Here is a 17861-nt window from a genome sequence, read left to right as displayed (position 1 = left end):
ATATATTTGTAAAGGGTGAATTTTATGTTGTGTGAATTAATCTCAATAAAACTCTCACTTAGAAACTGTTTTGAAAATAAATTTTCTTAGAACCTCTCATGTATAAATACCTAGTGAATTTACCATACTTACTAAAGTCTTTCCCCAAATCTCTACCGATTATTTGTATAGTTTAACAATTTTAACTGTCAGGCTAAGCATTTTAAAATTTTAAGAACTGCTTTCTGCTTAAATTTGTTCACCTAATAATATATTAGAAGTTAAGACTAATAATCAGCATACAACCTTCAGTTTAAAATTTAAACCTTAGTTTAAACCTTAGTTTAAAAATTGCCTTTAAAATAATATTCAATTAAAGCCACCTTTTTACAACCAAACCTTTTTCTAAAGATGGCTTCTGCACTACTCAAATTACTCCACATATCAGAGCAATAGTTTGAGCAGTTTGAATCAACTGGTCACATCGATGCTCAACATTCTATTTGACTTACATACAGACTGAAAATGGAATCAACAGAAATTGATATGATCCAGGTATTTCAAGCTGATTTAGCTTAAACTTGGCTGGGAATGGTGAGAGTAAGTATGTTTGTTTCCACAAACCAAACTTCTCTAAACTTCATCATTTGAGATGAGTGGCCAGTCCAGCAATATTGCGTAGCAGTCCACCATGACACTTCCATAGAAAAAAATAAACATCCATATGGATATCATTTATAACACTTGTCAGAGAAGACCAACGCTACTAAATGGTACAATACTGCAAAGCTATATAAACTGTATTTGTGTACAAATATCTTTCTGTTGCATTGTGTTAAAGATGTTAAAAATCAAGGTTTTCAGGATAATAAGAAATATATACAATTAAAATATATTGGGGAGAAACATTACAATGTTAAAATAGAATAAAATATCAATATGAACTTATGATTTAAAATATATTTTAAATATAGCTATATTTTATAGCTCTGTCTGTCAAGGAAAAGGGCCTAAAAAAGGTATAACAAGCATCCCCAATTATCAGATTAGCATCTCTAATACTGATTAAAAAGAAACAGGGCTGGGTGCAGTGGCTTATGCCTGTAATCCCAGCACTTTGGGAGGCCAAGGCAGGCAGATCACCTGAGGTCAGGAGTTCGAGACCAGCCTGGCCAACATGGCGAAACCCCAACTCTACTAAAAATACAAAAAAAAAAAAAAAAAAAAAATAGCCAGGCGTGGTGGCTCATGCCTGTAGTCCCAGCTACTTGGGAGGCTGAGACATGAGAATCGCTTGAACCCAGGAGGTAGAGCTGCAGTGAGCTGAGATTGCGCCACTGCACTCCAACCTGGGTGACAGAGTGAGACTCTGTCTCAAAAAAAAAAAAAAAAAAGAAAAGAAAAGAAACAAGACTCCTTGAGGGAAACAGTTGATTCTAGGACACAGGCACAGAAGGTATAAGATGAATCTAGGATATCATCTTGGGCAAGAAAAGCTTTCAAAGATTAATGAGTTTTGGCAATAGAACACTAAGGATCCAGCTGGAAATAGCTCTCATTGGCCAAAGGTATGTCAATTCAAGCATCAAAAAGGAAAATGACTGTTACATGCAATAACATGGATGAATCTCACATAAAGCCAGACACAAAAAGAGTATAGACTATGTGTTCCTTGTAAATTCAAGAAGAGAACCTATGGTGATAGAGTTAGAAAAGCAATTATATGGTGGAGGAGGGAGGGACAACTGTTTGACTAGAAAGGAGTCTTTGTGGGTAGAGGAAATATAGATGTAAAAAAAAAAGCTGTAAACTTAAGATGTGTGCACTTTACTATTACTATATGTTATGCTTCAATAAAATAAGTGCCAATTAAAACATATCAAAGTAACAAAATCTACTATAACACTAAAAAAGACAAAGCCATAAACTCATTTGTTAACCATTTAAGGTGGCTTTTAACATATTTCTTACCTGGAAAATTGGTAACTTGAAGGGAATTTAATTGTCCCTTTAAATTTAAAAGGAAGGAGTTAAACAGTTACCAGAGGAACTGTACTTCAAAATACCTAAATGGCCTTATTTGATGAGGAAGAGCTTTACTTTATAGGAGAATAATTGACAAAGGAATGATTTAAAAAAAAAACATTCTTTTATAAACCCAAATAAAATTACTGTGTTAATTTTAACACAGGCCGAAATGATCAATTGGGGTAAAAACCATTAGGTGAACAGCTGATGGGTAAGTATACATTTGCATAGTGCCAAAATAACACCACACAGATTATTTTCTAGTGAAAAAGGGAAAAATAACTATAACTCAGAGGGATCAGACAGCCATCACCTAAACTATGCTCAATCATAACATCACTAATGGTGGGTCAATGAGATGTCATGGGTCTCAGTGTAATTCTGCAACAGTGTTTATGGATATTCTAGCAAAAAATGCTCCATTAGCTCTTTCCTTTCCTTTCCTTCCCTTCCCTCCCCTCCCCTCCCTTCCCCTTCCCCCTCCCTTTCCTTCCTTCCTTTCTTCCTTTCCTTCTTTTCCTTCCTTTCCTTCCTTCTTTTCCTTCCTTTCCTTCCTTCTTTTCTTTCTTTTTTTTTTTTTTGACCAGCATGGACAACATGGCAAAACCCTGTCTCTACTAAAAATATAAAAATTAGCCAGGCATGGTGGCCCACGCCTGTAATCCCAGCTACTCAGGTGGCTGAGGAATGAGAATCACTTGAAGCCAGGAGGCAGAGGTTGCAGTGAATGATCATTGACATGGAAAGATGGGATGGTTAAATGAAACAAAAGCAGGTTGTAAAATAGTATGAATAGTGTAATCTCATTTGCAAAAAAAATACATATATACACAAATGGCAAAATATCTGGAAGAATATACACGAAGCTATAGCAGTGGCAATCTCTGGGTTTTGGGAACACAGAGGTTTCTCCTTCTTTTTTGGCTTACTTATGTTTTCTTTCTTCTTCTTCTTCTTCTTCTTTTTTTTTTTTTTTTTTGAGATGGAGTCTAGCTCTATCGCCCAGGCTGGAGTGCAGTGGTACTATCTTGGCTCACTGCAACCTCTGTCTCCTGGGTTCAAGCAATTCTCCTGCTTCAGCCTCTCAAGTAGCTGGAATTACAGGCGTGTGCCACCACACCCGGCTAATTTTTGTATTTTTAGTAGAGACAGAGTTTCACCATATTGGCCTGGCTGGTCTCCAACTCCTGACTTCAAGTGATCCACCCACCTCGGCCTCTCAAAGTGCTGGGGTTACTGGCGTGAGCCACTGCGCCCAGCCAATGTTTTCTTATTTTTTATAATGCACATATACTGCTTTTTTGTTAATACAGGATTATTTTAAGTTAAATGAAGCAGAACCCCACTGTTGCTAGTAGAGTTGAAGCTTAAGGGTACATAGTCAGAAGAAAACTACAGATTATTTTCCTTATTACCATAAAACAGTGAAACTTGTTCTGTGATTGATAACTTTTCCTTTATAATGTTAACATTTTTTATTGTGATAAGCTATACATAACATAGAACTTACCACCTTTTTCTTATTTGAGACACGGTCTTATTCTGTCCCCCAGGCTGGTGTGCAGTGGTGCGAATCATAGCTCACTACAGCCTGGAAGTCCTGGGCTCAAGTGATCCTCCCGCCTCAGCTTCCTGAGTAGCTAGGACTACAGACCCACACCACCACACACGGCTAATTTTACCTTTTTAAATTTTTTGCTGAGACAGAGGTCTCACTATGTTGCCTAGGCTGGTCTTGAACTCCTGGCTTCAAGAGATCATCCAGCCTCAGCCTCCCAAAGTGTTGGGATTACAGGCGTGAGCCACCACACCCAGCCCAGAACTTACCATCTTAACCATTGCTACATGTACAGTTCAGTGGCATTGAGTACATTCACGCTGTTGTGCAAGCATCACCACCATCCATCTCCAGAAGTTTTTCATCTTTCCACCTGAAACTTTGTACCCATGAAACAATGCCTCCCCATTCCATCTTCGTCGCTAGCCCCTGGCAACCTCCCTTCCACTTTGTGTCTCTGCATTTGACTACTCTAGGTACTTCACATAAGTGGAATCATAGTATTTGTCCTTTTATGTCTGGTTTATTTCACTTAGCATAATGACTTCAAGATTCACCCATGTTGCAGCACATATCAGAATGTCCTTCCTTTTTAAGGCCAAATAATATTCCATTGGATGGATAGATCACCTTTTATCTTGATTGATCATTTTAACTTATTTTTCAGTTTCAACCTACAACGTTTATGAGGACAAACTGCAAACTTAATTGCTTTTTAAATAAAATTGATGGCAGGCCAAATCCCTGCTTGCTGTTGTGAATACCTCTACACTGCAAGAATTCCTGGAACAGTGAGTGGGACACCTTTATTCAGACAAATCAGATACTTTGTAATGGAAATCAAGGTGGTATATTACTGTTTTGCTTTGTATTTTGAAGCATCCCTGGGTTCACTGCTGGGATTGCTCCAATCATCGGCTTCAGGCGTGGTCTTGTAATGGCGCCATGCGGACTTATTAAAAACTGGAAGTCTCTCAAATGACTCACTTGAAAGAGCCTATTGGAGAAACAAAAATATACACCAAAGGTCGACAGTGTCATTTTTCTCAAGTGAAATAGTAACCCAAATTTTATTATTTAAAACATCAGAAACCTTAATACATATTTTCAAAATGATATTAAAATTACACCTTAGTAGTTTACTTAGACTGGCCAGGAAAACATTAAAGCTTTTTTAAAGGAATGAAAACATTTGCTCATTCAAAATCAGAACTGAAATACACATGACCAGAACAAAACATATTTTAATTCAGCTCATACTGCTTTGAGATGCTCAACTGTTTTGACTATACCTGGTGACTGGTCTCACAAAGGGCCCAGGAAGAGATACAGTCTCATGCATCCCAGGTTTATAAACACACACCATCAAGTATATTAAATATCGCATTACTTAGATGCATGGGCATCTAAGATAAATACTCCCAGTAACTGGTTAAATTCTGGTATCACATACATAGGTTGAGTATCCCTTTGAAATGCCTGGGAACAGGCCGGGCACAGTGGCTCACACCTGTAATCCCAGCACTTTGGGAGGCTGAGGCAGGTGGATCACCTGAGGTCAGGAGTTCGAGACCAGCCTGGCCAACATGGTGAAACCCTGTCTCTACTAAAAATACAAAAAATTAGCCGGGTGTGGTGGCTCACACCTGTAATCCCAGCTACTCAGGAGGCTGAGGCAGGAGCATGGCTTGAACCCAGGAGGCAGAGGTTGCAGTGAGCCGAGATGGCAGTACTGCACTCCAGCCTGGGTGACAGAGTGAGACTCTATCTCAAAAAAAAAAAAAAAGAAAAAGAAAGAAACAAAAAAAAAGAAAAGAAAGAAAGAAATGCTTGGGACCAGAAGTAGTTCTGATTTTTTCCGATTTTGGAATATTTGCATTGTGCTTACCTGTTAAGCATCCCTAATCTGAAAATCTGAAATCTGGGGTGCTCCAATAAGCATTTCCTTTAAGCTTGACCTTTGAGCAAGCATCACGTTGGCGCTCAAAAAGTTCCAGATTTTCAACCATTTTGGATTGCAGATTCTTGGGTTAGGGATGCTTGACCCACAGTGGCATGTTATGCCACTGTTTAAAAGAATGAGCCAGTTCTACATAAATGGATCTGGAAAGATCTCTAAGACAGATTGCAAAGTAAAAAAAATAAGAAGGTGCTGAAATTTCATTTATGTGGGAAAAATTCTATTTTTCCCATATTTATAAATGTAGAATCAACTCTAGGAGGATCCATAAGACGCTGAGACCGGTGGTGATCTTCGCTGAACAGAACTGGCGGTTTAGGGCCAGTGGGAGGAGAGACTTCATTTTTCCTTTTGTAGCTTTTAAATTTTTATTATGTGCCTATATTACCTATTCAAAAAAATGTTACAAATATTCTAGAGTTTAGAAATAAAAGCCCAATGATCACCAATGAATAAGAAAAACTGTGTTACAGAGAAGTTTGTTATTAAATGAATCTTTTACATAACCATATTATGATTACTGAATTCTTGTAGCTTTGGGAAAGCCAGTGAGTTTTTAAAACAAAAGACCAAAATACTTCAGTTTATGAAAATCTGCCTTCTTTTAGATCAGACCTTTCAATAGGCATGTAGTTTTTTAAGTCACAATTTAAAATTATGGTTTTAAAAATCAGTATTTTAATTTTTTTTTTTCTCTTTTGAGATGGAGTCTCATTCTGTCGCCCAGGCTGGAGTGCAGTGGCACCATCTTGGCTCACTGCAACCTCTGCCTCCCGGGTTCAAATGACTCTCCTGCCTCAGCCTCCTGAGTAGCTGGGACTACAGGCGTGCACCACCACATCAGCTAATTTTTTGTACTTTTAGTAGACATGGGGTTTCACCATGTTGGCCAGGCTGGTCTCGAACTCCTGACCTCAGGTGATCCACCCACCTCAGCCTCCCAAAGTCCTGAGATTACAGGCATGTGCCACCACGCCCGGCCAAAATCAGTATTTTAATTTCTATACCTCCACGTTTCATATTTTGCTTTATCTGAGCATAGAATCAAGCGTGAGGCATAACATGGTTTTCATGGGAAAATGAAGTAAATCTGAGATGAATCTAAGAGATGATACAGTGCTGTTCTCAATCAGCGATTAGAACTTACAGCTTTAAAAAGCAAAGATGCCTCATACTAACAAATAAAACGCAGTACCTTCAAATAAATGACAGCATCAGTACCCACTCCTTCCATGGAATACAGTTTCAGATCTCCTTGAAAATATCTAGCATACAGACGGGAAATTGGCAAACCATAACCAAATCCAGCCTATTGAGAAAAGAAAATTAATACAGTGAGACAGGCACAAATGCTAACACATTTTATATGATGACCATTCAGAGAAGGTTAAAATAAATTCTTGATTCAGATTTAAATCAAATAAATTACTGACTCAACCTTTACAATGATGTATATCCTCTTCTATGGCAAACAACCCCTTTATTTTCACCCTGCAAAAACATGTCTTATATGTTTGGATAATAATAGAAATATTCTAATTTTTGACTAATGCTTTTTTAGCATTTTAAAGCAAAATTTTATCATTTTTTTAAAAGCACATTCCAAGGCCGGGCACAGTGGCTCACGCCTGTAATCCCAGCACTTTGGGAGGCTGAGGCAGGTGGATCACTTGAGGTCAGGAATTCATGATCAGCCTGGCCAACATGGCGAAACCCCATCTCTACTACAAAAATTAGCTGGGCGAGGTGGTGGGAGACTGTAGTCCCAGCTACTCAGGAGGCTGAGGCAGGAGAATCGCCTGAACCCAGGAGGTGGAGGTTGCAGTGAGCTGAGATGGCGCCACTGCACTCCAGCCTGGGCGACAGAGCAAGACTCCATCTCCACACACACACACACACACACACACACACACACAAAAGCACATTCCAAATCAAGTGGAATGTGACCTGATGACAAAACTAAACCACATCATTTCAAAGTCCCATGATCAGATTTCCTTGCTTTTGCAAGTGAAAATCAATAGCGCAGTGCTGAGTACAAATCTACCAGTAACAAGACGAGAACATGGAAAGGAAAACAATTTTCTGAGAGGCAACTACTAAGGTTCCGGGAATGTGAGAATATTTTGGTATATTGTAGTTCAGGTATTTTTAGAGATTAAAAAAATTTTCAGTACCCTCCTATATCTCTATGTCAAGGAATCCTGACTGTCAATAACAGGTGTTCTATGGACAAGAACAGTAAGAATCAAAACTAAATGTAATACCATTTGTGGTGGTAGTGGGGCAGGGTGGGGAAGGAGATGTAACACCAAGCTTCCTCACTTCTGGTTAAATCTATGAACAAGGTTAAGGAAGGAGGGCAGGGGACCATGTGCACAGAGTCACATGGGCCTTAGACTCAGACAGACCCAGTTGAAATCCACTTTCTGTGCGACTCTGAGCAGTTTACTCAACCTCTTTGAGACCATGTTTTCATCTGAACATATGATAAAAAACTGACCTCAGAGCTGCTATAAGGATTAAATAATATAACAAGTATAAAATCTTGGCACAGTGCCTAACACAGTAAAACTAAATAAATTGAGGCTGGTACTATGGCTACTAGGAGCAGCAATTTTATGAAGTTACACAGATTTCTGCCATTTTCTAACATCTCTCCTTGATACCTTCCCTCAGGGTAGGGTTTAACTGAAAGGGCAGGGGGTAAAAGAACGTACCCCATTATTTAAGGGCTTTGGGACTTGCTGAATATGGCCAGTAGTGAAGATGAGATATTTATAGTAGTGACTCAGGTAACCACAGCAAAGAAACTAGCTCACTCTAGGAAGAGATGTGAGCAAATCTGCCTTCTATGTTCAAGCAAGGCCCAGAGCCTGCCCTCATGTCCAACACAGAAGAGCCGAGAACTCCGAGGCCAATGCAGATGTGAGTGTAAGCCCAGACTCCCAAAGAATGCAGAGGAGGGGTCTGGACCTCGGATTTGCTGAGGTTCAGGAAAGGTTTCCCAGAGTGTCAAAGGATCAGCAGGAGTTCGCTGGGTGGATATTCTCAAACAGAAATGCACATGTAAAGGCACAGAGGTGTAAAAGGTGTAAAAGTGTAAGTTGCTCAATGAGGAAATTATGTTTTCTAGTAGTACATATCCATGTGCCCACTTTAAAGCTGAGGACAGTTTCTTTTTCTTTTCTTTTTTTTTTTTTTTTTGAGGCAGAGCCTCGCTCTGTCGCCCAGGCTGGAGTGCAGTGGCATGATATAGGCTCACTGCAATCTCCACCTCCCAGGTTCAAGCCATTCTTGTGCCTCAGCCTCCTGAATAGCTGGGATTACAAGCATGCGCCACTGCTCCCGACTATTTTCGTGTATTTTTAGTAGAGACAGGGTTTCACCATGTTGGCCAGGCTGGTCTCGAACTCCTGACCTTAAGTGATCCACCCGCCTTGGCCTCCCAAAGTGCTAGGATTACAGGCCAGTTTCCTAACTGGGAGAGCCACTAGCAGAAGCATTTCTTCGGCCACGTAGTACACTGGAAAGAACACAGACATGGCCAGCACCAGCTCTGCAGTTAATTAGTTCAATGACTTTGGACAAGGTCATTTCCTCATTTCCTCATCTATACAATGGGAGTGCGCATGCGTTAACTGTTAAAAGTCTCTTACAAGCCCTCAGTTTCAATAAGAAAAAAAACCTATGATATAACAGCTATCCTCAAGATGCTATTTTAAGACCTGGAAGAGACAATCTATATTTCTTTTAAACAACTGGGGAAGGTGCTAGATTTGTTTGTGGTGCCTTTTTTCCTTTTGATGTGTATTTAAGTGCATGCCAGAGCCTAGTCAAGGCAACGCCTCTCAAATGTGATCTTTCATGAATTTTCTCGACTCCTATATAAATGATTTCCTGTTTCCAACATGCTGAGTTAACAAACTCTGTCTCAAATAAATGATGCAAAGTGTTTGATTTTATTCATACAAATAAAATATAATCTTATGTGCTTATCAGTCAGGTACGACTTTAAAATGAAACTTAATTTATACCCTGAACCATTTTGCAGACTGATAGATATGTTGCTGTGTTTAATGACAAAGGGTTCAATTGTTGTTTGTCAATTAGAAACACTCAGCAGGGGAAGCAAGTGTGGCCCTACCAGGATCTAAATGCTACCATGGTAACCAGTGGCTTTTCTCACTGCCTTAACAGGGCTGAAGGTTATTTCCAGAGTGAGACAGAAAGGGCTCTGAAAATGCATACACCACCTATATGTTTCATGCTAATGTTATTTAACATAAAAATTTAATGTTTTCATAATTTAACATTTTAATTATATAAACAAATTTGACAGTGGAGATTCCAAGGCACTAGGTGATTCGCGCCTCTGTGGTACGCACGCCAGAGTGCGCAGGACCAAGCGGCAGCTATGCATTCAGTACTGTCCCTTTGCTCACCCACTGGCAACTTCCACCCCTTCCAAGGGTAGCACAAAGTGGAAAATGGTGCTACAGTAGCAGTCTTACCACAATGAGGTACTTTTTCTCTGTATATGGGAATGAGGCACTCAGCTAGGAGTGTTTCTTAGACACAAATCAGAGAGGAAATTGAAGTCCAAAGGATTCACAAAGCAAGTAGCCAAGGCAAAAAATTCTCCCTCCTCCAAACCATAATACACGCAACCTTCTAAATCAACTACACTAATGTGACAACCTGGGGAGAGAGGCAGCTCCCTCTGAGCCCCTTCCTGTGTTTATGATCTTTCCTTCAGCAGCACTTTCAGATGCTTACCAAAGGGGCAGCTCTGGTAGGCTCCAGGCTGGGTCTAGGAGCAGTAGAATACATGTAGTTAAAAAGACGATCTATTTTTCGAAGTGGGACACCACCACCTAGGTCACTGATCTGCAATGTTCAAAATGTTAACAATCAAAACAAAGAAGTTGATCTATACTTAGTAGGAGGCAATGGGTTCATTAAATAAAGTACATAGCAGATTACTCCACAATGTACAAGGACTTTGAATCCCCCAGTGACATACGGTTCCTTTGTGAACAGTGTAAAACAAAGGAGGCCGAATGGTACAGTGGGATCCAACAGGCTTGGTGTTGAGGTCTTGTTCAACTCCCTGAATAACAAGGTTCTAATGAAGTTTAAATAAGGTAACTTAAGCCAAGGATCTAGCATAGAACTTACAAACAGGACACTCAATAAATGTCAATTTCCTTCCCTCTGATTTTTCAATGTCTAGATACTATTAAATCACAACTGATAATTAAAGTATACATGCACATAAAACAGTTACCTTAATGGATAAGTCTTCTTTACCCAAAGTAACGAGGGTTTTAACAGCAGGGTAGCCCTCTTTTCTGTCTTCATAGAGTTCAACTGTCGCTCTCATTGAGTTCTAAAATAATAAGATCTTTTTATTAATCATACTGCCGAATCACAAACCACAATTTTTAAAGAGAAAGAAGCGCAAGATGACTTATACCCAACAACCCTTTTTTGGGGCAAATATTAGTTGGATTTTTATGGCATTTTTCCCTCTAAAGAGCTTAGCTAAACGTGCTCAAATCAAGGAAAAATTTCCTGACACTTTGTTTTTCACCTAGTTTTAGCCTCATCCAACATGCTAAATATTTATTTTTCTTTCCTTCTTCTTCTTCCTCTTTTTTTTTTTTTTTCGCTTTACGGTATTTAAATTATTCAACTCAACCCAGAGGAATGTTTTTATCGCATGTAATGAGGCTATGCAGAGGCTGATTTGTGCACTTTAAATCCTATTTATCAGTCTGCATTTATAGAGCACCTTTTCTCTAAAGAAGGCAGAAAAACTGAAAGGATGCATGCTTCCCACAAAAATTAATCATTTGGCTGAAAAAAGTAGAAGAAATATTGGTTAAAAAGAAATTCTGAAAAAGCCACAGCTGCTGAAGAGAAAGTTCACAATTGAATGCCCATTTCAACCTTAAAGCGTTACATCAGTAACATTCTAATTTTTGGAAGCAAATCAGCATAACTGATTTTTCAGGTGTTCAATTTAGTGTTTCACGCATTGGAAGAAATGAAATTTTAGCTCAAATGCCTTGTGCCTGTAATACTGCTACTGTAAATGTCATTAGCTACTGATTAACAAAAGCAACAGCTTAAGTTGCAGACTCTAAAGAATTTGGTGGGGGGGAGGGGTGGTTCTTTTGGTCCAGCTCATCTACATCTTTCTCCTCTGCCTCTCTTGGATCTTCTGAATTGATTCAAATATTTTATAAAAGAGTTGCAGGATCTCTCAGGACTGGAACAACCACTAATGTACCAGTGTGGTTAATTTTCAGAAGCATAAATATGTATAAACATGTTTTTATTTTGATCTGGCTATCACCAGTAAAGCCTTTGCCAGGTTTGGAAACTAAAAAGCATCTCTAATCTCATAACTAAAGAAAAAACAGTATGGATTTTACATAAAATCACTAAAGTGCAATTAAGCTTCAAAATCAATATGTACTAATATTCACAAAAACTATAGTGTACACAGCAATTTCTCATCTCACAGTGTACAAATTATAAAACCCACAGGATATCAGAAATAGAATTTTTAAAATGGTTATGCAAAACCTTTTTCTTATGCTAATCTAATGAATCCATTATGCCCTGAATCAAAGTAATTTAAAATGAAGACTTCTTTCCACGTTTTTAAAATTCCACTTACCTTGAACAACTCAAATAGCATATGAAACAGATGTGAGGGCACATAAACCACCTGAATAGGTTTGTCTGGCGCTTTGGCTGAAAACAGAGACAAAACCATCAATCAATAAGGACCCAAAGTAGGAGAAATTCAAGAATGATGTTTGCATTCTATTTTCCAAGTGTGTAAAACAGAGCTCTATAAAAGGCTAATTTGAGTTTCCACCTCTAAAGGCAGGGCTGAGCAAAAGCATATGCTTTAGAATCAAACAAACCTGGGGTGACACCCAGTTCCTTCACTTACCAGCTATGTGACCTTGGATAAATCACTCAATCTCTTTGAAACTTTGTTGAGCAGAATTGGAATATTATCACCTATGCCATAACATCCTGAGTATTACAGAAGGCCAGTCAGATATCACTTGGTGTTTTTCAAATTGGGGGCTACCTTCTGCCACTGACCCCAGGGGGAATTCCACGGGAGAATGTGGAGCAACAGGAAAAAAAAGGGCTGGTGAACTGGACTAAATGGCAGTGTTCAGTTTTGTTAAATTATGACAAACAAGGCATCTTATAGCATAGAATGTAAGGTTCACATAACTTTTTCTCAAGCAGCTAGCACATAAACCCCTAGAGACCTATGATCTTTTCCCCTTGCACCATGGGTCATCTGAAGACAATCTGAGAAACACCAAAACCCAGGTGAAGCAATAAGAACAGTGTGCGGTACAGAGCAGATGCTCAAAAATACAGTCCTTCCTCCTCCTCATGACCCAAAATCACTTAAGAGATTGAAACTACATGAACTCTCTCAGGTAGAATGCTGTAATTTCAACCAGCTACTTCCTCTAATAAAGTAATTAACAGTAATACAAATTAGAGTTCACATTTGCTTGATTCTTAGCAGTCTACACAGAGCTTTCACATACATTATTCAATTGACTCCTCCTGACAACACTTCCTGGCTCCTAGAGGGGTGGTGGTGTTTAGAGGTCTGGAAACAGGCTTTGGGAAGCCTGTGTGACTTGCCCGTGGTCCCAGAAGTGGCACCGAAACCAGACACCTGAACAAAGAGCTTTTGAGTCTAAATCCCGAACTCTTCAAAGAGCAATTATTTTTATTTTTATTTATTTATTTTTTGAGACAGAGTCTCACTCTGTTGCCCAGGCTGGAGTGCAGTGGCGCCATCTCGGCTCACTGCAACCTCCACCTCCCGGGTTCAAGCGATTCTCCTGCCTCGGCCTCCTGAGTGTCTGGGATTACAGGTGTGCGCCGCCACTCCTGGCTAATTTTTGTATTTTTAGTAGAGACGGGGTTTTGCCATGTTGGACAGGCTGGTCTCGAACTCCCGACCTCAGGTGTTTGCCCACCTCGGCCTCCCAAAGTGCTGGGATTGCAGGCGTGAGCCACCGTGCCTGGCCTGAGCAGTTGTTTTTAAAATCACTTAGTAATATATGTAAACGGCTTAAAAATTTAACAAAAGAAGAAAAACAAAAGTCCTTCCCCCTTTCCTATCTTATCCTTCAGTCTGAACCCAGAGGCAGCCACTCTTTACTACTTCTGCTGTAGTCTTTGGGTTGGTAATATTTACATTCTGTTCTGTAACCCAAATTAGGGATGCTGTAAATTGCCTATAGGTTCTTTCAAGAAAGTAGAAAATCAAGTGTTGGTGACATTATAACTATGTAAATATTGATCACTGTAGAACAACCACAACAGTGTACCTAGACATTTTCTTCCCTATTAATGCAATAACAATGATTCATGTGTCCCTTGGAGGAGAATGTTCCCAGCCTTAACATGAAATGGAGTTTCTTTATACTCCTCCAACTGGTCAACATCATGCTACCCTTTTTGGGTTGCTTCATAGTTGGTCCATGCCATTTCGCTAAGATCTTCCAGCTTACTGGAAGCTTCCATACCTACTTCCAGTTTCCATACCTACTTCCAGCTTCCATACCTACTTCCAGCTTCCATACCTACTGCATGGTATCCAGTCCATTCTTCAAGATTTTTCAAATTAGAATCAATTGCTTTGCAAACATGCTGCATAGCCATCATCCTAAAGTTGTTTTTGATTGAAGTTCTAGAATGTTTTCCCCTTTCTTAGATGCATATTATACATAACATCAAGGCAGTCAGGTAACCTACCTCAGAAAGGGATGCATGGGAGACACATCTGTCAATCTTTACACCTCTGATCTATTTGATTAAAGGTTTGGCTAGATAGAGAATTCTAGGTTTGAAATGATTTTCTCTCAGAATTTCAAAAGGGGGGTTTCTGGCAGTAACAGTAGAGCTGATAAGTTTAATGCCAGTTAGGTTTGGTTCTTGCTGCTGGCTTTTGCTGAAGGTCTGATCCATCTTGGTTGCAATATTCTTGTTTGAGAATGAAGAACCGGATTCACTGTATGAGGGAGCTGGCGTTCATATCCCCCTGGGGCTCTCCATTAAGTGGGAAGCCTGACTTAGAGCTCTCTGGACTGGTCAAGACTTTTCAACTTGGCTTGAGGATGAGCAGGTAGTAAATGGGCCTCTGAGCAGAGAGGCCCCCAAATGCTTAAACGAACAGGGCTTTGCTGCAGGGTAACAACACTCACATGAAAAGCCCTAATTCTTCCTAGGTTGTTCTCGAACAAAATACTTAGTTGCCTGTTGGCAGGCTGAACCCGGCCAGAGTACAGCTGCCTCCCGTCATCCCTCCATGCTCTTTCTTAGACCAGCTTTCAGTTAACCCTACCCTCTGCCTTCCCTTCCCATTCCAGTCCATTGCACCACCTGGCCCTGCCCCCAGAGTCCCTCCAGGACAATCTTCGGCAAACCAGTTGCCACCTCTGCTGCAGCCTCCTCCCCTGTGGCTGCTTCTGCTCTGTCCCACCAATCAGCATACTTCCATCTAGTGACCCTCTTTCAAAAGTTGGGATTCATGCCTCTTATGGACGGAATGTTTGTGTGTGTCTCCCCCAAATTCCTATGTTGAAATGTAACCCTTGATGTGATGGTATTAGGAGATGGGGCCTGTGAGAGGTGATTAGGTTATGAGGGCAGAGCCCTTATGGATGGGATTAATGCCCGTTTAAAGAAACTCCAGAGAGCTCCCTCGCTCCTTCCCCCATGGAAGGAAACAGTGAGAAGCCAGCTATGAATCAGAAGGTGGGTCCTCACTAGACACCAAATCTCCAGGAACCATGATCTTGGATGTCCCAGCCTCCAGAACCATGAGAAATGGTTGCTGAAGCCACTTGGTCTCTGGTATTTTTGTTATAGCAGCCTAAATGGACTAAGGCACTGGTCCACTAATGAGCTCCTCTGCTTTCCTTTGCTGCTTTTCTTTGGATTCCTTTATCGTCATTTTATTTTTATTTCTTTTTTTCCCCTCTTTTTTTTTTTTGAGATGGAGTCTTGCTCTGTCGCCCAGGCTGGAGTGCAGTGGCGCAATTTCAGCTCACTGCAACCTCCGCCTCCCAGGTTCAAGCAATTATCTTGCCTCAGCCTCCCTAGTAGCTGGGACTAAAGAAACATGCCATCATGCCCAGCTAATTTTTGTATTTTTAGTAGACACAGGGTTTCACCATGTTGGCCAGGCTGGTCTCGAACTCCTGACCTCAAGTGATCCGCCCACCTCGGCCTCCCAAAGTGCTGGGATTACAGGTGTGAGCCATTGCGCCTGGCTCCTTTATTGTCATTTTAATGGGGCTCGAGGAACAAGCTGGGTGCTCAGTTTATCTTGTACCAAATGGCATGATTAGTTATATAAACAGCCTTATGAATTCAACCTTTTCACCCCAAATCTCAAGAAAAGGCAAACACCTTTTATATAGTGGGTTTTTTTATTTTTATTTTTTCAGTTTAAACAACATTCTCTAGGAGCCATCTAAAGGCTTGCTCAATTACCTGCACTTTTCTTTGGGAACATTACAGTTTAGATTTCTTTCCTTCCTTTTAAAACCATGTCAAATGCTTTTGTCCATGACTCTTTCCTAGTTCTGGGTCTCGAGGCTGGCTGTTAAGTAGCAGATGCTTAATAGATGTTTGCTGACTTATAAAATAAGTAGAATATGAATTTTCCATCTAAGGGTACATTTTTAAAAGTCAATTTAAAAATGGCCTAGGTTTGTCATGCTCAAGACTTCAGAAATAATGAAGTCTCTATTTTGTACAGTCATTGCTCCAAATGCCATTAGTTGAAACAGCATTTAAGAAATACCATTAGATATAAGGAATTTTATTTCCAGACAGTTCTCCTTCCAGAATAAAAAAGCATCCACTTAAGGTGTTCAGGATCAACCTCCAACCTGCATCTCCAACATAGAACTTGTTAAGGCGAAAGCACATTCCTTAATCATGCTCACAAGAGAGCTCTAGCATTAAGAACTTATACATAAAAATAATCACTACACTACCCAAAGCAACATAAAGCTAGAAGCTACCTAGAAACACCAGCATTCATTTATCTTAGTGATAGGACAAGGGGCTTCAAAACATGATCGAAAGGGGGCTTCTGTAATTCGTGAGACAATGCCAAAAAGAGTCGGAAAGCTCCTCTCCTGGTGGGTGAGCTGCCCAGCATGACAGCCTCAGCGGGGACAGAATGTGCTGACATGGCTGGCACTTGGGAATCAGCAAGAACAGGCCTGCTGCTTTGGCCTTTAGAATGAGGGAGGCTGCCACTCACGCAAAAGAGCAATTTGTTACTACCTGCAGATGTGAGATCAGCTCCTGCCTAGTCCATAGGAAGAGAGAGAAAGAATATTAAGATGGTTCTCATCAGGAACACTCCAGACAAGCCCACTCGGTCCTGGTAGTATATTTATTCAATGGGGACATGACTCTTCTCAGAGAACCCAAGAGACCTTGAAAGCAGCTTTGACTCCATGCCTTCTAGTCAAATGGAGGGGCCATGTCCTTCAACAGCAGCCTGAACTCCTTTCACAGTTTTATCTCATTATAAGAGAAATACATTTTTAGTGTACTCCTGAGGGGGAATTTGGTTTATCTTTTTTTTTTTTTTTTTTTTTGAGACAGAGTCTTGCTCTGTCACCCAGGCTGGAGTGCAGTCATGTGATCTCGGCTCACTGCAGCCTCTACCTCCTGGGCTCAAGCGATCCTCCCACTTCAGCCTCCTGAGTAGCTGAGATTACAGGCACATGCCACTATGTCCAGCTAATTTTTCTATTTTGTGTAGAGACAAGGTTTTGCTACCTTGCCCAGGCTGGTCTCGAACTCCTGGGCTCAAGAGATTCTCCTGCCTCAGCCTCCCAAAGTGCTGGGATTACAGGTGTGAGCCACCATGCCTGGCCTGGTTTATCTTTAACTGTAAATGCTCACACCCTGCTCAGTCATTCCACATCTAGGAATCCAACCTGCAGAAATACTTCCATACGTTCACAAATTTTTCCACCCTCCCCACCTCTCACACTCTTTCATAGCTCATTATATGGAATATAGGAAAACAGGAAATCCTAAATGTATACCCATAGGAAAACAGTTAAATAAATTATGGTAAGTTACACTATGGATAATCTCTAAATGAGATTAATACTTGCAAAGGTCTTCAAGGTGAAGTGAAAACCACGTTATAAATAGGGTTAAAGCTATACATGCTTTATGCAAAAACCAAAGCTCTATATGGGACTGAGAAAGTTGTGGGGGATTTCCCTTTTCAGT

At 40.3% G+C, this 17861-nt stretch overlaps 1 protein-coding gene across 2 annotated transcripts in view, besides 2 other annotated features; it reads right to left on the bottom strand.

Annotated features, from left to right (window-relative positions):
* The window catches only part of PDK3 (pyruvate dehydrogenase kinase 3), an 85181-nt gene that overhangs the window by 11976 nt on the left and 55344 nt on the right, over positions 1–17861 (bottom strand). The window contains exons 7-11 of one of the 2 annotated variants that reach the window (NM_001142386.3): positions 12217–12293; positions 10816–10917; positions 10305–10415; positions 6721–6834; positions 4423–4562 (exon numbers count right to left, since the gene is read on the bottom strand). In NM_001142386.3, the coding sequence (NP_001135858.1) occupies positions 4423–4562; positions 6721–6834; positions 10305–10415; positions 10816–10917; positions 12217–12293 (544 nt within the window). Of the gene's footprint in view, positions 1–4068; positions 4563–6720; positions 6835–10304; positions 10416–10815; positions 10918–12216; positions 12294–17861 lie in introns of those variants that run through there. The other variant, NM_005391.5, reaches the window with a different exon arrangement.
* Positions 9333–9939: an enhancer, noted in NCBI's record as "NANOG-H3K27ac hESC enhancer chrX:24546669-24547275 (GRCh37/hg19 assembly coordinates)". NCBI's record gives its function as "activates a minimal SCP1, AML or CMV promoter by ChIP-STARR-seq in naive and primed H9 embryonic stem cells {active_cell/tissue: H9 hESC(naive and primed)}" and the evidence as "EXISTENCE:reporter gene assay evidence [ECO:0000049][PMID:30033119]".
* Positions 9940–10547: an enhancer, noted in NCBI's record as "H3K27ac hESC enhancer chrX:24546061-24546668 (GRCh37/hg19 assembly coordinates)". NCBI's record gives its function as "activates a minimal SCP1, AML or CMV promoter by ChIP-STARR-seq in naive H9 embryonic stem cells {active_cell/tissue: H9 hESC(naive)}" and the evidence as "EXISTENCE:reporter gene assay evidence [ECO:0000049][PMID:30033119]".

This window comes from Homo sapiens, chromosome X, assembly GCF_000001405.40.
Source record: "Homo sapiens chromosome X, GRCh38.p14 Primary Assembly".
Taxonomy (NCBI): Eukaryota; Metazoa; Chordata; class Mammalia; order Primates; family Hominidae; genus Homo; species Homo sapiens.
Note: the sequence above shows the minus strand (reverse complement) of the source record. Positions and strands in the feature narration are given on the sequence as shown.